The sequence below is a fragment of the Homo sapiens genome, chromosome 1, assembly GCF_000001405.40.
Source record: "Homo sapiens chromosome 1, GRCh38.p14 Primary Assembly".
Classification (NCBI taxonomy): domain Eukaryota; kingdom Metazoa; phylum Chordata; class Mammalia; order Primates; family Hominidae; genus Homo; species Homo sapiens.
Genome location: NC_000001.11, coordinates 148,916,218 through 148,937,437, shown reverse-complemented (window position 1 = coordinate 148,937,437; position 21,220 = coordinate 148,916,218). Strand labels below are relative to the sequence as shown.

Sequence of the window (21,220 nt, the reverse complement as noted above, 5' to 3'; positions counted from 1 at the left end):
GTGGCTGTTCCATTCAATAAACGGTTCTTGGATAACTATTTTGTGTACTCAATGCACTCTACCAAGTACTGGAAATATGAAGTTGGAAAAGAAACAATCGCTGTTTTGCAAAAATTTAAATTCCACCAGCATGTGTTTGCTAGTGATTTGGAGAGTAAGAAGACATACAGCTACAGTCACGTACCATATACTGTTTCTGTCAACATTATGTCATCATACTGCATGTATGATGATGGTCCAATAAGATTATACTGGAGCTGAAAAATTCCTATCACCTAGTAAAGTCCTAGCTGCAGTAACATCATAGTGCAATGTATTTCTCACTTGTTTGTGGTGTTGCTGGTGTAAAGCAAACCTACTGCACTGGCAGTTGTATACAAATATAACATATGTATAGTATGTAATACTTGATAATAAATGTTACTGGTTTATGTATTTACTATACTTTCATTGTCGTTTTAGAGTGTACTCTTTCTACTTATTAAACAAAATAACTGTAAAGTAGCCTCAGGCAGGTCCCTCAGGAGCTATTCCAGAAGAAGGCATTGTTATCATAGGAGATGACAGCTCCATGTGTGTTATTGTCCCTGAAGACCTTCCAGCGGACAAGATGTAAAGGTGGAAGACAGTGAAGCTGATGATCCTGACACTGTGTAGGCCTAGGCTTGTGTGTATGTTTGTGTCTTAGTTTGTAACAAAAAAGTTTAAAAAGTAAAAAAAAAAAATTAAAAATTTAAAAACAGAATAAACCTTTTCTAGAATAAGGATATAAGGAAAATATTTTTATATGACTACAAAATGTGTTTTAGGCCTTCACATTCATCCACTTCACTACTCACTCGCTAAATCACCCACAGCATGTTCCAGTGCTGCAAGTTCCATTTATGGTCAGTGCCCTAAACAGGTGTACTGTTTGTTATCTTTTATACAGTATTTTTACTGTATCTTTTCTATGTTTAGATACACAAATGGTTACCATTGTGTTACAATTGCCTACAGTATTCAGTACAGTAATATGTCATACAGGTTTGTAGCCCAGAAGCCATAGGCTATACCATATAGCCTAGGTGTGCAGTAGCCTATCCCATCAAGGTTTGTGTAAGTATGCTCTGTGATGGCCACACAATGAAGAATGAAATTGCCTAAAGATACATTTCTCAGAACATATCCCTGTAGTTTGTGATGCATGATTGTATATAAGCAAATAATAGTAATAGAATATAATAAATGCTACCAGAATAGAGGCACCATATAGTACATTGAGTGCTGCCATAGAGCTATAGGATGAAAGATAAAGAAATAATTCATTTGACTTGAAGGAGTATAGCGATGCTCAGGAGAAGAAATTTTAAAGATTGAGTGGTTTCAGAGTAAACAGACAACCTACAGAATGGGGGAAAATATTTGAAAACTATGCATTGGACAAAGGTCCAATATCCAGCATCTATAAGAAATGTAAACAAATATACAAAAGAAAAGCAACCCCATTAAAAAGTGGGCAAAGGACATAAACAGACACTTCAAAAGACGTACCTGCAGCCAACAAGCATATGATAAAAAGCTCAATAACACTGATCACTAGAGAAATGCAATCAAAACCACATGTGATACCATCTCACACCAGTCAGAATGACTATGGTTAAAAAGTCAAAAAATAACAGACGTTAGTGAGGTTGCAGAGAAAAGGAAACACTTATACACTGTTGGTGGGAGTGTTAAATTAGTTCAACCACTGTAGAAAGCAGTATGGTGATTCCTCAAAGAACAAAAAGCAGAACTACCATTCGACCCAGCAATCCCATTTCTGGGTATACTCAGAGGAATATAAATCATTCTACCATGAAGACATATGCATGCAAATGTTCACTGCACACTATTTACAATAGCAAAGACTTGGGTGGTTTTCCAGGCTCAGAAGGAGGAGATTGAACAAAGGAACAAAGGCATGAAGACCCAGTGTACAATTTGGGAAGAGTCACTGGAACAAAGGCCCAGGGAAGAGGCAATGGCTGGAGAAGAGACTGAAAATTCAGACCCTCAGACTAGGGTTAAGTTGTAAAATACTGTGCTGAGGTATACAAACTATGGGTTCAAATAAACTTATTGATCATCTATGTGCTAGGCATATTCTCTGTTTGTATATATTGGAACATGAACCTTCCAGGTCCTTGAAAATCTGCTGGGTACTAAATGAAATGTTTCCAGTTGTGATTCTTTTTTTTTTTGAGATGGAGTCTTGCTCTGTCGCCAGACTGGAGTGCAGTGGCGCAATCTTGGCTCACTGCAACCTCCACCTCCCTGGTTCAAGCGATTCTCCTGCCTCAGCCTCCCGAGTAGCTGGGACTACAGGCATGCGCCACCATGCCCAACCAATTTTTGTATTTTTAGTTGAGATGGGGTTTCACCATGTTGGCCAGGATGGTCTTAATCTCGTGATCCGCCCGCCTCGGCCTCCCAAAGTGCTAGGATTACAGGTGTGAGCCATGATTCCCAGGAGAAATAACTTTTAAAACTTAAAAACATTGGGCTGGGTATGGTGGCTCATGCCTGTAATCCCTGTAATCCCAGCACTTTGGGAGGCTGAGGCAGGCGGATCACCTGAGGTCAGGAGTTTGAGATCAGCCTGACCAACATAGTGAAACCCTGTCTCTACTAAAAATACAAAAATTAGCTGGGCGTGGTGGTGCACGCCTGTAATCCCAGCTACTCGGGAGGCTGAGGCAGGAAAATCGGTTGAACCTGGGAGGCAGAGGTTGCAGTGAGCCGAGATCTTGCCACTGTACTCCACCCTGGGCAACAGAGCGAGACTCCATCTCAAAACAAAAGCAAAAACAGAAACAAAAAATTAAAAACATTATACAAATGTAAACTGCAATGATGACGAGAAGGAGGAATGTGGACTCCATATGAAATTCCCTCATGGTATCTGCACTAGAACATCTCTACTTTTCTTAAACCTCAAACTTTGCTCATCTCTTTGACCCTTAGTCTCCACAGAGGATCTGTTCTCCTACTCTCCAAAATTGTTCAAGGTCATCTGATGAGTGGCCTCAATTTATTTTCAGATGTGCATGTGCTTTACTTGGGGTTTTGTTTTGGTTTTTAGTTCAGTTTTTTTTAATTGGGGTTCAAATATGACACTGTCTTGGGGAACCTAGTAGGGAAAATCTGAAAGCAAATACAGTACCATACTGAGAATTGTACAATATGTATATATATAAAAGAAACAATACAGAAACTTCATTCTGCTATCACAAAGCCTTCAAAGAAATGACGATTGATGCCTTAGTGAGGTTCACTAGAAGGGAAAAAGTTGGCAGATGTTTCCCACAGAAGGAAAAGCATGAGCAAAATTCTGGAGACTTGCCATAGCTTCTTATGCTTCTGGAGGCAGTATGGCTTCAGGGTTTGGATGTCAGCAATCCCTGAAACCATGTTTCACAAGTCTCCAGATGCCAATTTTTTCATTAATAAAGTATAATAATTCATATCTCATGGGGCTGTTAAACAAGAACATAAAGTACTCAGCTGTATGGTAAGAGCTCAACAAAGCTTAGCCATCATTATTATTACTAGCCTGGCATGAATGAAGTTAAGGAATGGTGGTGGGTGATGAGTGTGGGAGAAATCAGAGGTTACATCATAAAAGGCTTTGATGGTCACATTAGGAGTATGGATCTTATCTCCTAAAGGTATTGCAAAGCTTCTTAAATGGCTCTGCCATGGTGCGATTAAATTTATGTCTTGGAAAGATCACATTGGTCATGGTATGCACATGTGGTTTTTGCCTATTCAGTTAAAAGCTCCTTAAAGCTTTTTATACCACCACAGTCTTATGCACCTAAGAGGCTAAATTATTTGCCAATTTGTTGTTGTTGAATTATCTATTTCAGAACTACTCTGAATTATTAGGTTGAGATTGAATGAGAGGAGCAGGACTGGAAGTGGAGAGGACATTTAGAAAGTTTCCTCGGTAATCCAGACAGTAGATGGTGGTGACCTCAATAATTGCCCAGTTACCTTCAGGACAAAGTCCAAGTTCCTTATAATGGTATACAAAGCTGGCACAATCAGACCCCTATTCTCAAAACAGCTTACCTCTCACTTGTCTTCTCACTTGCTCCAGTTATGTACAATTATTTAAAGTTCTTGAAATATTCCTTTCCCTGTGTCTTCCCTCCATAGTTTCTCCTTCTGCATAGAATATTTCCTTTCCCTATCCACTTTCTACCTATTTATTCTACCTCCTATTCATCCTTCAAAGCTCAGCTCAGATTTCGCTTCCTCTAGGAAAACTTCAATGGCATTATCTTAGTCTTTTTGGGCTGCTATAACAAAACACCATAAACTGGGAGGCTTATAAACAACGGAAATGTATTTCTCACAGTTTTGGAGGCTGGGAAGTCCTAGATCAAGTCACTGACAGGTTCAATGTCTGGTGAAGGTTCACACTCTGGCTCATAACGGTGCATTCCCACTATATCCTCACATGGTAGAATGGGCTAACTAGCTCTCTGGGGTCTCTTTTACAAGCGTATTAATCCCATTTATGAGGGCTCCATCTCCAATGTCTATGATTTAATCACCTCCTAATGGCTCCACCTCATACTACTTCTGGAGGCAGAAGTATTAACCTTAAGGGTTAAGATTTCAACATATAAACTGGTGGGGGAGGGAGGTGGGGATGGGACACAAACATTCAGACCACAGCAGACAACTTGCTCTTTTAATGTGGAATGGATGACCCTCCAATATTTCCCCAGAGCACCCCATGCTCTTCTATCAGGGAACTTATTAAAATCATGTAACATGTTTCTTGGTGACAAGAATTAGGTCTTTTGTTTCTGTAACACATGCCAGATACTTAGCCCGGTATCTGGCATGTGGCATGCCCAGTAAATGTTTGCTGAATAAGTGAATCTATGTCTCTTGCTTGCCGCTATTTGCCCACTGAATCCATGAAGTGAGTTTTCATAATGGATACCACTGAAAATTCAACCCTGAAAAGAATGTCTTCGGTTGTGGGCCCATAAAGTCTTAGAAATAGTGAAGCTCCTACTGTCAGTCCTTGAAAGGGAACAGGACAGCTGCTGTATGCCTTGAGAATGGGCAAAAGACAAGCGACAAAAAGAGCACCGAAGGCACCTACTTGTCCCTCTGGGCCAGGGCCTCAGTGTATTGGTCGGGCTTGACCTGGTCTCCTGGTACATCTTCCCAGTTTTTGGTGACTCCCTTCAGTTTCTCTGAGAGCTCCAGGTTACACTCCTTCTCTGCTTCCACCAGAGCTGCCATCCGCGCAGCTTCATTCTTTGCTAGCCTGGATTCCTGGAAAAAGAACAAAAACTGAGAGGCTGCAAAATTTCTACCTAGATTAGGAGCCCTAAGACCCAGGAACATTGATGAATTTCAGAGGGAAAGTAGAGACGGAAAAGGTGAATGCCAGAAGGCAGAGCAGTAGGAAGAGGAGTGTTAATAAAAGAGAACCCCTACCTATGGACTTTGGGAACTCCTCACCTCCTGCAGAAGCTGGATCTTATTCTCCAAGAGCTCATAAACATGCTCCGTCTCCTGCTGTCGCTCCTCAAACTGGCGTCGGAGCTCAGCTTCATTCTGACTGTTGAGATTCTCCACATCAGCCCTAAAACCACAGAGCATTAGCCAATCAGAGCCAGACATACAGTTTAGCAAGTGGAACCATTAAGGTTGTTCTTTGATAAATCTCCAAACTGCTTTCTGCAGTGACTGAACTGGTTTATATTTCCACCAACAGCGTGTAAGCATTCCCATTTCTATGCAGCCTCACCGGCATCTGTTGTTTTTAGACGTTTTAATAGTAGCCATTCTGACTGGTGTGAGATGGTATCTCATTGTGGTTTTGATTTATATTTCTCTGATGATTAGTGATGTGGAGCAATTTTTCATATATTTGGTGGGCATTTGTATGTCTTCTTTTGAAAAGTGTTTGATCATGCCTTTTGCTCATTTTTTTAATGGGGTTATTTGTTTTTCATTGTTCAATTGTTAAATTCCTTATGGATTCTGGATATTAGACCCTTTTCAGATGCTAGTTGCAAATTTTTTTAGATTCTACAGGTTGTCTGTTTACTCTGTTGATAGTTTCTTTTGCTGTGCAAAACTCTTTAGTTTAAATAAATCCGACTTGTCTCTTTTTGTTTTTGTTGCAATTGCTTTTGAGGACTTAGTCATAAATTCCTGAGGCCAATGTCCAGAATGGTGTTTCTTGGGTTTTCTTCTAGGATTCTTATAGTTTGAGGTCTTACATTTACATCTTTACTCCATCTTGAGTTAATTTTTATATGTGCTGAAAGGTAGGGGCCCAGTTTCATTCTTTTGCATATGGCTAGCCAGTTATCTATCCCACCACCATCGAATAGGGGAGTGCTTTCCCCACTGCTTATTTTTGTTGATTTTGTCGAAGATCAGATTGCTGTAGGTGTGTAGCTTTATTTTTGGGTTCTCTATTTGCTTCCATTGGTCTATGTGTCTTTTTTTTTTTCCAGCAACATGCTGTTTTGGCAACTGTAGCCTTGTAGTATAGTTTGAAGTTGGATAGTGTGATGCCTCTGGCTTTGATCTTGGTCATTTGATGAATGACATTGGTAGTTTGATAGGAATAGTGTTGAATCTGTAGATTACCTTCGGCAATATGGCCATTTTAATGATATTGATTCTTCCAATCCATGAGCATGGAATGTTTTTCCATTTGTTTGTGTCATCTATGATTTCTTTAAGCAGTGTTTCATAGTTCTCCTTGTAGAGATCTTTCACCTCCTTGGTTAGATGTATTCCAAGGTATTTTTTTTTTTTTTTAGCAGATATTGTAAATGGGATTGCATTCTTGATTTGGCTCTCAGCTTGAATGTTATTGGTGTGTAGAAATGCTACTGATTTTTTTTTTTTGAGACGGAGTCTGGCTCTGTCGCCCAGGCTGGAGTGCAGTGGCATGATCTCGGCTCACTGCAAGCTCCGCCTCCCGGGTTCACGCCATTCTCCTGCCTCAGCCTCCCAAGTAGCTGGGACTACAGGCGACTGCCACCACACCCGGCTAATTTTTTTTTTTCTATTTTTAGAAGAGACGGGGTTCACCGTGTTAGCCAGGATGGTTTCGATCTCCTGACCTCGTGATCCACCCACCTCGGCCTCCCAAAGTGCTGGGATTACAGGCGTGAGCCACCATGCCTGGTGAAATGCTACTGATTTTTGTACATTAATTTTTGTATTCTGAAACTTTATTGAAGTCTGAAAATATTTTTAATAATTTTAGTAATACTTGTCATTTAACACTAAGCTTTTAAAAAACTGTAAATTATAAAAGTAACCATTTTAGCAATATAAATGTATATAAAGAAAAATATCAAGTCTTCTCCCTATCACGGACTGTGATCTCACTCTTCCTCAGTATACTATAAATATCACTCAGCAACTTTTCCCCCTTACTTTAATCAAGGAATTCCCACTAGGACAATAATATAGAGCTAACTCATTCTTCAATAACTGCATAATAGTCCACAGTGTAGTAATACCAAAATTTATTCAATCAATGCCCTATTGATGGATAATTGTTTCTAGTTTTTTGCCATTACAACTAATGATGCAATAAACATCCTTATACATTTATCCTTTCACACTAACGCTTTTATTTATAAGAAACAGATTCCTTCTCGGGATTGTTTGATCAAAGGAAATCCTCCTTTTTTATTATAATAGGTAGCATCCCATACTAAAAATGTTGTCACAATTTACACTCACTGGTAGTGTATGAGAGTGCCCATTTTCCCCAAATGTTATCTCAGCTCTTGATGTTATTATAGGCTGACTGATACTTTTTGATAAAGCTTATTTGCATTTGTCTCTACTAAAAGTGGAAACATTCACTGTTTCAATTTAGTTGATTGCTGACTGATAGGAAGTTTGCAGTCTTAGGTCTGGTGGATTTACCAACTTATGACAAGGTCCATCTGACCTAGTAATAGAGAAAGAGCCCAAGGGAAACACAGCATATGAAAATCTATTGTTTCAGTTCCTGAATCAGATACAGGATTCAAATGCCACAGATAGGTTAAGGAATTTGGTTCCAAATCTATTGCTCTCAGATTAGTAAGACAGACTCTGGAAAGGACCAGAGCTTAAAATTACAACTTACCATGTTTTATCCAGATGCTGTTTCTTGTCCTGGAGTTCTCGTTTCAAGCTCTCCACTTCAACCTTCAGCTCAATGTTCTGAAAAACACACAGGCATTAATCGTTATTAACTGCCACAGACACTCTTTCCTGGATCCAGGTTCCTATTTGAGTCTTGCCTTGGTCCACAGCCTCTCACCTCATCTCTGCCCTCTTTGTGACCCTTGACATAATTAGGGATTTAGTTGGATCAGCAATCTAGTCAAGGAAGAATAAACTGTACAGCTTCAGGGTTTCCCCTGAGCTACTTATCAATTTTCCCAACCTATTTATCATTACCCCTGGATCATGAACACTGCTTAAGTCTATTCGTTCTCTAAACCATTGCAGGACAGAGTATATATTAAAATAAATTTTTCCTATCTAATACAGGTTGTTCCTGAAAACGAAATTGCTGGAATAATACTTTTAATAGAATTATAGTAATAGAACAATACTTTTAAATGTCTGGGGATTTAATTATTTAAAGAAATTTGGTTGTAAACATTTTTAAAAACAATGCTTTTATCATAAAATTGGAATTTTATAAATTAGGTTTGCTTAAGGTGAGAGGGGACTCTGATGGTAAAGTTATACAGGGAACAATTAATTTTTATTGAGGTGAGGATGCAACAAGTAAGATTTGGGGAAACAGAAATAAGGAAATAAAAACATCCCAAGTGTGTCTGGTGCAGGTTAAGTGGCTTAGTGTGTGGTAAGGAGTATAGAAAATAGTTTGCAACTAGTTTGTGAAAATCCTGCTAAGACAACTAGATAGGCCGGCCACGGTGGCTCACACCTATAATCCCAGCACTTTGGGAGGCCAAGGCAGGCAGATCACTCGAGGTCAGGCTTTAGAGACCAGCCTAACCAACATGGTGAAACCTCATCTCTGCTAAAAATACAAAAATTAGCTGGGCGTGGTGACATGCGCCTGTAATCCCAGCTACTTGGGAGGCTGAAACAGGAGAATCGCTTGAACCCAGGAGGTGGAGGTTGCAGTCAGCCAAGATCATGCTGCTGCACTCCAGCCTGGGTGACAGAGAGAGACTCTGTCTCAAAATAAAAAAAATTAAAAAAGTAAAAAACTGGATAATAATCAGTAGAAATCAAAGACTTATCAGGGAGCTTTAAGCAAAGTATTGGCATGATCGGGTCCATGTTGAAGAAGGAATTATGAAGAAGGTGGGTGGGTCAGGGGCAACTAACCAGAATAGGGAGGGGGACTGTCTAAGGACAAGAGGTACAGGGAGAAAGACTCAAAAGCCATTTCAGAGACAGAAGCCACAGGCCTTGATGACTTGTGAGATTCAGATTAGACTGGAGGGAGGACCAAAGACAATGCTGAAATTTCCAGCATGTCAGTGGGAATGCATTCTATTAACTAAAATAGGGGCAGGTTTGTAGGGGAACCTAAGGAGGTTTCTGCAAAATGTTAATTGAGGGATTACTTTATTTCAGCTTAAACGTTAGCATGCAAAGATGGATTAGTCCCTTCCCTGATGAAGTCCATAATACAGTATTAGGCAAGAAGAATGTTATTTAGTAAAGAAGTCTTTAGATCAGAGGTTGACAGAGAGACTGAAGGTAAAGTAGCTAAAGTATGAAAAGTAGTATTGTGGGTACTAGAACAGTAGGGAGGATTTTACTTTACTATCGCCATATAATAACCACCAACACCTAGACTTCTAGAAGTCCAAGGCAACATACAATAGCAGCATATTTTCTACCATACTTGTGAAGGCATTTCATAACCCATGTTTCCATGCAGGGTGGTCGAAACACAAATACTAATTGGGAAAAGTAGAAACCTAGTTTAGATATTTGAGAGTTACTTAGAATTAAAGAATTTTAGAGCTGGAAGGCAGTTGGACTCAAGGCATTTTAGATCATATTACTAGTATGTTTTTAGTGACATACTGAGAAGAATGTTTGTTCCCCTCATAAGTAGGTACCTTTTGACCAAGGTTAGAACATAGATTCAGATCCAGTGAGATGAAAATATCCTAATTTCTTCAAAAGAAGGAATGATAGCCCTGTCTTTTCAGGATATACTTTAAAGTTATTATTTTATGAACACTAAATAGCATTACCAGATTTAGCAAATAAAAATATAAGATATCTACTTCAATTTAAATTTCAGATAAACAACAAATAATTTGTTTCATTAGAAGTATATCCTTTGCAATATTTGAGACATAACTTAAACGCTAAAACATTGTTTGTTGTTTATCTGAAATTTAAATTGAATTGAGTACCCTGTATTTTATTCTGCAATACAAATACCAAAAGATTAACAAATGGAAACACGCATATTTCAATTTTGTATGAAGAACAAGTCTAAGATCTCTATATCAGTTCCATGGCCTGGCACTGCAAGAATAATTCATCTGTACCAATTGATGAATCAGTAAAATAGAAGATTTGCTAAACAGTTGCTATGTCCCCAGCTTTGTGGTCAATACTTAAAGGAATTCAAATGTCTTCATAAAAAATAGTCCCTAAGCTAGAGGCCCTTCATAGAGGTGAAGGAATATGCATTCAATTATGTGGGAAATGCAAAGAGGGAGCAACTTCCTAATGTGTAATAGGCAGATAATTGTATTTTCCTCATTCATAAACCTACCTGAGAGGATCGTGAGGCATAAATAAATCAATACATGTAAAGGACTTAGGACAGTGTTTCTAACACAGGTATAACTATAATTTTAATTATAATAATATTATTATCACCATCATCATCAAGAACAACAGCATTATCATTTGGAACAGCAGTTTGCTTTCCATGAGACCATAATGTTTCAAGTGGATTCAGTGTTCAGGATATGGTGCTGAGAAAGAGGACTCCTAAGTTTATTATTATTTCTGCCACCAATTGATTCACTTCTGTGACCTTGGGTAAAATTCTGCTAAGGCTTCTCCACCTGGAAAATGACAAAGAGTGGGCAAAAAGCTATTTAAATCTCATATGAAAGAAAATGGAATCTATAATTATGAAGTGTTATTATCAATGATATTCCTATGCCTGGCTAATTTATATAAATCAGAAAAGTCTGGATATGCTAAACCACCTCAGATAAGCCAAAACTGCTTGAGCAGATTTTTTAAAAATCTCATATCTAAAAATACGTGAGGTCTCAAATGACTGGAGCTATATGGATGTCCTCTGCCTAGTTCTTAGTCTCATGATGTGACATAGGGAATCTCTATCAGGTATAAACTGATCAACAGAAAGTTCCCTGAAAAGTCCCTTACTATTAATACTATTTTTGCATGAGGAATCTTTGAATATTCAAATAAAAATAAACAAACAACAGGGAAAGTGAGAGGCACTATGAAACCAACCTAAAGCCAGAAAGAATTAGGTTCGAATCCTGGCTCTATCACTTTCCTGCTAGGTGACCTTGGGCAGGTTAACTAATCACTATGAGCCTCAGTTTTCTTATAAGTATAGTGTGGTTGCTTTGCTTTTTAATGAAGATAAGTATTCACGAGGGATTCTGTGAGGATTGAATGAGACAATGTGCATGATAAGCATAGAACAATGCCTTGCACACAGCTGTGCAACAACCTTGATTCACTTTCCCTTCATGTCCAGGCTGACTAGTGCCAGTCAGAGACCCCAGCCTTACCAGGAAAAATACTTAGATCTAAAAGGAAGAAAAACAGAGGACATAAATTAGTACGTTCTATCTGTTCTAAATCCTACTGAAGAAAATGAAGTCAATGCTTTGACCAATTTGGCCAAAGATTCACAGATTTGAAGACCTCAGCATTTCTGTGTTCTAGTTCTCTTAGTTTAAAGACAAGGAAATTGAAATCCAGAAGGGTTACCTCCAAGGTAAAAGCCGTAACTGAAACCAACACTCCACTCTTGCTTTAGCCTTTTATCAGAGAGACCAGCTTAGCAAACACTGCCCAGTTTTGTCTGATTTTGTAGAATGTGGTAAATTATAGAATTAGAGAATGTGCTGCATTTAGTCTTGAAAGAATATATGGAGGCAGTAAGTACAGTGGTCAAGAGCATAGGCTCTGAAGGCGAGAAGGGGGCTTGACAAGTCACCTGCCCTCTCTAAGAGCCTCATTCACCTCATCTATCAAGGAGATAACAATGATACCAATCTACAAAGGATGTTAGGGAGACTAAATGAAATTATGCACAAAAATCACATCGCACAGTGCCTGGCATGCAGTCAGTATTCAGAAAATGATAACTATTATTAACTATAAAAACAATAACAATTTACCCTCTCTAACTAGGATAGCTGAAATCCAGAAGGGTTTTCAAGGTAAAAGCAATAATCTTACATCAAAGTCTAACCTTCTTGCACCTTCTTTCTGTAGAAAAATCATCATATAGCTTATCACATTTATTCATTCTCCATTACTAAATATTCATGTGTAAATTGTTAAATTCTTTTATAGCATCAGTAGATTCCAAATTAACTGCATTTGCTTATTTTATCACCAAGTCTTCTTGGCTCTTTGTCAAGATATCTAAGGAAATTTATGTACTCAAGAAAGGGGAGATGGGAAGAAAGCACTTCTCTTTCTTCATGCCTCCAAAGGAGTGTTCGCCCATCTAACTCAAGAAAAAGTTTCAATGATGAAGCTGAAATTAAACTTCTATTAGGTATTTCTTCCTTCTCCCCAGGACTGGAGTACATGAATAGTCTCATATCTGGTTTCCCCAACCTCAGTCCCTCTACTACTTAAATTTTTCCTAAAGCATAGCTCTGGTTATTTCATTCCGTCTGTTCAAAAAGCATTTAATATGTGATGCAGGTCCAGCTAAAGAAGAAAAAGGAAAGAAAGAAAAAACCTTTTAACGATTTTTAACTGTACAGCGATTAAATTATACACAACTGGCCTGATAATAGAGTCTATTCAAAATTTGACCTCAATCTACCTCTCCAGCTTTATCTTCCATTATTATCTGCTAGCCTAACTGGATTTCCCAAACATGCCCTATGCTTCTTGGTGCCACATCATTGTGTGCCCTTCAGCTTCATGGTTAAATGCTCCGTCCCCTGTGAAGCCTTACTTTATCTCTCCAAATTAAAAGTAATTTCTCATGATGACATTATGAGCTTTCAAATATTCTTTTCATACTGCAACATTGGCATCCCGTGTAAATGCTTCATATTTCTACACCTGTCTTATTTACCCTTTTAAATTGCAAACTCCCTAAGGACAGAGGAAATGATGGTGTGGCAGAACTACCCAGGTGCGCTGGTTATTAAGATACTGCCTCTCAGCGTTGTCATGCTGGGGCAGGAATTTCAGGATAAGTAAACCTAGGTTCACATACCTTTCTGCCACTTCCTAACTGGGGGACCTTTTTTGTGTAAATTACTTCAACTTTTACAACCTAATTTCCTCATTTATAAAATAGGGTTTGCAAAAATTACCTCAAAGTTTGTAGTGAGGAATAAATGAATTTATGTAAAGTACCCAGCACAATGTCTGATACAAATAACCGCAGCTCGGGCGCGGTGGCTCACGCCTGTAATCCCAGAACTTTGGGAGGCCGAGGCGGGCAGATCACGAGGTCGGGAGATCGAGACCATCCTGCCTAACACGGTGAAACCCCGTCTCTACTAAAAATACAAAAAATTAGCCGGGAGCGGTGGCGGGCTCCTGTAGTCCCAGCTACTTGAGAGGCTGAGGCAGGAGAATGGCGTGAACCCGGGAGGCGGAGCTTGCAGTGAGCCGAGATCGCGCCACTGCACTCCAGCCTGGGCGACAGAGTAAGACTCCGTCTCAAAAACAACAACAACAAAAACAAATAACCGGCAGCTGTGACTAATCTGAGGTCTCGCAGTGTCTCTCACCTCTTTGTGCAGTAAAAGCTTTGAAAGAGTGAACCAACAAGAGAACAAAGAAGGAATAGATGACAAGAGGCGGAAGTGGACTAACAATGATACGTTTGTTGAATGAGTGAGAAGGTAATAGATAATGCTGTGAGATTATGTGGAAAACTTTTTATCTGAAGTCTTTAAAAGACATTCTCACTTTTGGCTGGGCGCGGGGGCTCACACCTGTAATTCCAGCACTTTGGGAGGCTGAGGCGGGCGGATCACTTGAGGTCAGGAGTTCCAGACCAGCCTGGACAAACTGGTGAAACGCTGTCTCTACTAAAAATACAAAAATTAGCCAGGCGTGGTGGTGGGTGCCTGTAATCCCAGCTACTCGGGAGGCTAAGGCAGGATAATCGCTTGAACCCAGGAGGCAGAGGTTGCAGTGGGCCGAGATTGTGCCACTGTACTCCAGCCGGGGTGACAGAGCGAAACTCCATCTCGAAAAAATAAAAAATCTACTCCAGCTGGGGTGACAGAGAGAAACTCCACCTCAAAAAAATAAAAAATAAGGGCCGGGCACGGTGGCTCATGCCTGTAATCCCAGCACTTTGGGAGGCCGAGGCGGGCGGATCACGAGGTCAGGAAATGAGACCATCCTGGCTAACACGGTGAAACCCCGTCTCTACTAAAAATACAAAAAATTAGCCGGGTGTGGTGGCGGGCACCTGTAGTCCCAGCTACTCCGGAGGCTGAGGCAGGAGAACGGTGTGAACCCAGGAGTCGGAGCTTGCAATGCGCTGAGATCGCGCCACTGCACTCCAGCCCGGGTGACAGAGCGAGACTCCATCTCAAATAAGTAGATAAATAAAGACTTTCTCAGGTTTTTGTTTTGTTTTTGTTTTTTTGACAGTCTTGCTCTGTCGCCCAGGCTGGAGTACAGTGGCGCAATCTCGGCTCACTGCAAGCTCTGCCTCCTGGGTTCATGCCATTCTCCTGCCTCAGTCTCCGAGTAGCTGGGACTACAGGCGCCTGCCACCACGCCCGGATAATTTTTTTGTATTTTTTGTAGAGACAGGGTTTCACCGTGTTAGGCAGAATGGTCTCGATCTCCTGACCTCGTGATCCGCCCGCCTCGGCCTCCCAAAGTGTTGGGATTACAGGCGTGAGCCACCGCGCCTGGCTGACTTTTTCAGTTTTAAGCTAAGAATATTCTCTAATAGGTATATTATTGACCCATTGACAATAGAAGATTGAATACACTTTAGGATTCCAGCCTCCTCTTCTACTGCTCATGCTCTCCGTAAGAAGGGCTAAACATCCTACTCCTGTGCACTACATTGGAGCTCAGAAATACTGACTTAAAATCTCCAGATCTTAACACGGACTTTTAAAGGGAAGATTGAGTATGGACCCAGTATTAGATGGTATTATGGAATTATTTTTAAGCTTTTTGGGTACAATAATAGTATTGTGGTTATGTTTAAAAACAAAGCCTTCTCTGTGAGAGTTATATTCTGATATCTTCCCAAATAAAATTATATGATGTCAGAGAGTTGCTGTAAGGGGTGGAAGAGGACAAGATGGAGAACGAACAGTGCAGGGAGATCACTGAAAAGAACAGCAAAATGTTGGGAACCGTTAAAGCTGAGTGATGGGAACATGGCTCCCTGGTAAATGGGACACATACATCGGGAGGTACTATTTTCTTAGTCTTTGTTTATATTTGAAAATTTTCAAACTTACATAATGAGAAGTCAAAAGGGGCATTTTCATCCCAAAAAGGTAAATGTCCATATTCTTTTTTATTTTTTCATTTTCATTTCTGGAATTACCTAAACTCAGGTCATAGATAGCAATGAAAATTCGGCTCCCTGTGGCAGCTTCTTTCAGCCACCAGACTTACATAGACTCAGTGGTGCAGAGTCCGTTTCCCAATACTGAGGGATAAAGAAAATTAAGCCTGCCTCTAGGCACGTCTCAAACTTGGGAGACTCAGAATACAACAGAGTATGGGATACAGGGAGGAAAGAAGAGATGCAGAAATAAATTAAAAACAAGATTTGTTTAAAGAGGAACTGCAACTTCTTTAATTGGGCAGATTGAACCAATAAAAGCACAGTTCTCTCCCTTCACCTGTTATCCTTTAGTCTCTTCAACTTTCACATTGCTTCACTCACTCTCTTCCTCTCCCTTTCACCTGCTCACCTTACCCAACTTGAACTGTGCCCTCTGATCTGACACAGGATGACAATGACATCAGTCATTACCTAGCAGCCATTTTTTCTGATAACTAGAGTTCTGAGTGATGATAGTTCATGGTGAGATAATTTCCAAGACCTCGCTAGCCATTGGTGGTACTACTCTCCATTAAAGACAAGGGCATTTGCTGATTGAGAAATCAATCATACAAGTGTCCTTGGAGGCCACCAAGGCTTTGCCTGAACTGTTCTCAGCCTATGATGGTTTCTCTTTCTAAACCTGTTCTTCTAGGTTCAGCTCAAACATCCTCTCCTATAGAAACCTTTCCCCAACCTCCCAGTCAGAACTAATGATTTCTTTTCACTTCAACTGTACTTAGTTTATAATTTATATGACTATAATTTAATAACTGAGACTCTTCTGATAGTACAAACAGGTGCTATCATAATTACCTCTGGGCAACAGGCAAAAATCAAGATTGTCCTTAGTAAACCAGGATTCATACCAGGTCATCTGATGTTTAGTATAGCACTCACCCGACTCTGCCTTACATTGCTTATTTAAAATGTCTGCCTCCCCTTCTAGGTTTTATAAAAGTTCTTGGCTCACAGTAACTCTTAGTATAAGTTTCTGAAATAAACACTTTGTTATCACTTTTGAATTGATGGCTTACATTTTTGTTTTGGCATTTAACTTCACATTTGTGCATTCATGTGTATGCATTTCAACTCATCTGCAAGCTTATATCCCTCAAAGTTTGCTGCTGGGCTAAGAGCAGCCACTCAAAAAATAATAATAGGCCAGGCGCAGTGGCTCACGCCTGTAATCCCAGCGCTTTGGGAAGCTGAGGCTGGTGGATCACTTGAGGTCAGGAGTTCGAGACCAGCCTGGCCAACATGATGAAACCTCATCTCTACTAAAAATACATAAATTAGCCGGGCGTGGTGGTGGGAGCCCAGCTACTCAGGGCTCCTCAGCTACTCAGCTATTCAGCTACTCAGGAGGCTGAGGCAGGAGAATTGCTTGAACCCAGGAGGCGGAGGTTTCGGTGAGCGAAGATTGCGCCACTGCACTCCAGCCTGGGCAAGAGTGAGATTCCATCTCAAATAAATAAATAAATAAAAACCAAAAAAAAAATAAATAGTTTTTAAAAAATCTTGACAGCATACCAGCATACATTCATTGATAAAGTCGACAAGAAAGTATTGGAGATTAAAGATTGCCAAAACCTAAGTGCTTTTCTTGGCATCATTGTCCTTGACCTCAAGGAGTTCTCAGTGTAATCAGAGTTGTGTTAAGGTCAGTGAGTGAAGGAAATGGGTACTGCACCTTTGCAAGATAGTAGGAAGCAAGCCAGAGAAGAGCTGGCATTCCACAAAAGAGTCTTTATTTGGGACAAAAATCAATATGACCAAATCCCATCCTAATCAATTCTGTAAACTAAAGGAATTTTTAAAAAATAATTTAGCAGGAGGAAGAGTTTCAAAATCTTGTAGGGAAACCCTGATGTAACTCCTGATTATTCACCCAAAGTGAAAAGTAACTATTAGTGAATGGGTTTTATTTTAAAACCTTTCATTTTTAGAATCTTATCTCTTCTAGGAAAAGTGTAGTACATACGAATTTTTTGTATGCAGAGTGAATTTTTCTCCAGGCTTCTCTGACATCAATGGGGCAAGGTCATAACTCTATAAAACAGGGAGAAGCACTGAGCATTTTCAGAAAGGACTCTATCTGTCTTGACCAAAAGACAAAGGACTGGTCATTGCAGGATCCCCAGAAATACATTTTAGTAGTTTCCAAGTGAATTCTTTTGTAAATGGAGTTTCTCTCCATTCATAAGTATTAGAGCAAAAATGAAGCCTTAGTGGGTCTAGATATCTGGCTAACATTAACTCCCTGTGTGACCTTAAACTGGTCGTCCCCAAAGCTTTATGCTTTTATACAATTAACTTGATTTACAGCCTCTCCTTCTTGCCCATAAGAATGATAATACCACCTGCATTACTCATCTTTTACGCTTATGTGAGACACCTAGCCACCTATCAGAAGGTATTCAAATGCAAAGCATTAAGTTTTTACACTTTAATGTGAAGTGGAAGAAAGTCTTGATTCAAATGCACAATCTCTACCTTTCTACTGATTCCACATTTGCTGTCTTTTACTAGTGCAGTTAAGTCCCAAATTAGAAACATAAGTCGCCCCAACATGTGACAAATGTCCTTTGTTGCCAGAGAAAGGACAGTGGGGCTGTGTCCTCAGCCTTAGCAACCAGAAGATTCTGCAAGACCAGGACATTCTCCTGCCAGAGCCTGCTTTAGTGTCCAGTCCTGTTCTCCAAAGAGATGGAAAAAACCAAGTGGAAAAGTTTCAGTTTATTCAATATAAGGCTCCACATTCAAATGGCAAAACTGCTCTGTTCAGGTCATATTTCAAGCCCAACCTATGTCAGTCCTTAGTAAAAGCTTCAAAGCAATACCAGTCCTTTCCCAGCCTGGTTTACCTTGATTAGACAAACACAGACACCCATGTCTGAGTAAGCACTGAGACCATGGATGAGTGCTAAGGAGATTAGGTGTTTGGATAGACACAGCTAGGGTGTGTGTGTGTGTGTGTGTGTGTGTGTGTGTGTGTAGAGAGAGAGAGACAGAGGCAAAGACAGAGACAGTGCTCATTGGGCAGAGGACAGAGTAGCTGAGATAGTATCATTTGTTTATTCATTTGCTTTTTCATAAAATACTTAGTAAGCACCTACTTGGTATGTGCCAACACTTTAATAGGTACTAGAAAGAGCAAAACAGACAGAATCACAGTCTTCAGAGAATTTACAGCCTATGGGGTTAATTAAACCAATGATTATCATAGCATGTAACAAACAAAAGAGAACCGAGAATCAGCTGTATGGAAATGCACACAGGTGGCAGATATAAATAGCAGCAGATACACGAATCAGTGCGGGTCCATCATATAACTCCTAGCTTTAGTCTCTAAACTTAGGCTCCCACTCAACTCAACTCCTACTCTAACTCAAGATATACCATACCTTGGTTTGCTCTTTCTCTAAGCATCGCTGTTCTAGTCTTCTAAGGAGCAGGAATATAAATCTACATCTATGTGAAACTACAGCACCCCCAAGGGAAAATAAAGAATCCAGTGCTATTCTAGTAATTTTAGGGCAGTAGTACAGTACAATGCAAAGTATAGGCTTTTGAACTAAATTGGCCTGGGTTCAAATATGAGCCCTCTCACATTCTATTAGGTTGAACCATATAAAAATGGAGATATTCAATCATTTTTTTACAGTTTCACGTAGTTCATCTCTGTATTCTAGAGGTAAATCATTTTAACCTAAGTTTCATTTCCTTCTGTTGTTAGTTTTTTTAATGGTGCTAATACCCCTACCTTTCAGGGTTGTAAATGAAAAGATGTTAAAAAAAAATACCTGACATATAGTGGGTGTTCAATAAATGTTAGTTTTCCCAAAGATAGTCAGATGCATGAATCATAATAAGAGGTATTTCTGGTCAACACTAAGCTTAAGAATCCAAGAAAAGATATATCAAAATGAGACATCTTTGGGTTTGGATAGTGGGGGAGGCTGTATATACACAGGTATGTATGTAGGGGCAGGGAGTAAATGGGAAATCTCTGGCTCTTCTGCTTAACTTTGCCGTGAGCTTAAAACTGCTCTAAAAAACAAAATCTGACCAGGCCTGGTGGCTCACACTTGTAATCCTAGCACTTTGGGGGGCTGAAGCAGAAGGATCCCTCGAGCCCAGGAGTTTGACACCAGCCCGGGCAACATAGAAAGACCCTATCTCATTTTAAAAAACTAAAAAATAAAAAATAAAATAAAAAACAAAATCCATTTTTTTAAACAAAAAGAAAAATGAGGGAAAATGAGGTGTTCTGCTTGTTTTATTTAGACTCTGAGCACAGAGTTCCCAAGATACATTCTGCTGTGGTATTCACACTGATCTCCAATTAAACCCTTCTCAGTGTGTCATGAGCTATTCATTCCCTATAGTCACTCTGTTAGAATAGAATCTTGGTCGTGTCCCAGAGGCCTCTGTTGATGTGGCCCAACTGAGCTGGCCAGTGAGAAAACATACACATAAATACCCATGATCTCAGCGATTCTCTCCCCTCCCCAGGACATTCCTTAGCAGAACCAATCTCTCTCACTCGGCTGGAGCCTCTCTGTTCACAGATAGGCCTGGCTGGGCTTAATTTAGCAAAGGGCAGGCCCCCTGCAAAAGCCAGGGGTAAGTCTGGAGCCCCTGTAATGCCCCAGGACACCTTGTGTGGAGACAGGAGCCCAGCCCTGCCGAAGGAGCTAAAGGGGATGTTCAGAATGTTTGTTTTTCTCAGCTATTTAGGAACTGGAGCTCACAGGAACCACCCTTTACTTCCTTAACTTCTCACATAAATGTTTTCTTTGGGCAGCAGCTATAGAACTGGAAACTAAGTAAAACCTTACTTTGGAATATAAAAACTATATTAATTTTTCTATAGATAAATTGTTGCATAGGAAACTTGCTAAATATTTTTAAATTATCTGTAACATCTAACATAATCTGACATTTATCCCCAAATTCAGCTTTCAATTCTGGATTGAAACATACTTTGATCTGTTCTCTAAAAAGGACAAAGCCAGTCACTGGTGTTTTGCAAAGTCTGGGACCATTTTTCCTACACAGAATCTCACACAATAAACAGACAAGATATTAGAAACTAAGTTCTAATATCTAGCAGTCACTCCTTCCCTGGAAGCCTGGCTGTGTCCTGAAGCCAGGTCCTATGATCAGGCAACTCTTCTGAAGCTCTGCTTCCACTAGAGACAGCACTTACCCTGTAGACTCTACAGATGTACCATCCAGGATGGCAGGCATGAGCCACATGTGGCTACTGAACCCTTGAGATGTGACTAGTCCAAATCGAAATGTGCTGTAAGGATTTCAGACTTAGCACGCACAGGAGTTCAAAGACTAACTACAACAAAAGAATGTGACATCTCATTAATAATTTTAAAATGTTGA

At 39.9% G+C, this 21,220-nt stretch overlaps 1 protein-coding gene across 40 annotated transcripts in view, besides 2 other annotated features; it reads right to left on the bottom strand.

Moving 5' to 3' along the window:
• PDE4DIP (phosphodiesterase 4D interacting protein) overlaps positions 1 to 21,220 on the bottom strand; it is a 224,583-nt gene that overhangs the window by 95,579 nt on the left and 107,784 nt on the right. For 34 of the 40 annotated variants that reach the window (NM_001377392.2, NM_001350521.4, NM_001395298.1 and 31 more), the window contains 3 exons: positions 8,165 to 8,241; positions 5,515 to 5,638; positions 5,150 to 5,325 (listed from right to left, as the gene is read on the bottom strand). In NM_001377392.2, coding sequence (NP_001364321.1) covers positions 5,150 to 5,325; positions 5,515 to 5,638; positions 8,165 to 8,241 — 377 coding nt within the window. Of the gene's footprint in view, positions 1 to 4,709; positions 5,326 to 5,514; positions 5,639 to 8,164; positions 8,242 to 21,220 lie in introns of those variants that run through there. The other 6 variants (NM_001395329.1, NM_001395328.1, NM_022359.8 and 3 more) reach the window with 1 other exon arrangement.
• Positions 14,947 to 15,556: an enhancer, noted in NCBI's record as "H3K4me1 hESC enhancer chr1:144961997-144962606 (GRCh37/hg19 assembly coordinates)". NCBI's record gives its function as "activates a minimal SCP1, AML or CMV promoter by ChIP-STARR-seq in primed H9 embryonic stem cells {active_cell/tissue: H9 hESC(primed)}" and the evidence as "EXISTENCE:reporter gene assay evidence [ECO:0000049][PMID:30033119]".
• Positions 19,896 to 20,725: an enhancer, noted in NCBI's record as "H3K27ac hESC enhancer chr1:144966957-144967786 (GRCh37/hg19 assembly coordinates)". NCBI's record gives its function as "activates a minimal SCP1, AML or CMV promoter by ChIP-STARR-seq in primed H9 embryonic stem cells {active_cell/tissue: H9 hESC(primed)}" and the evidence as "EXISTENCE:reporter gene assay evidence [ECO:0000049][PMID:30033119]".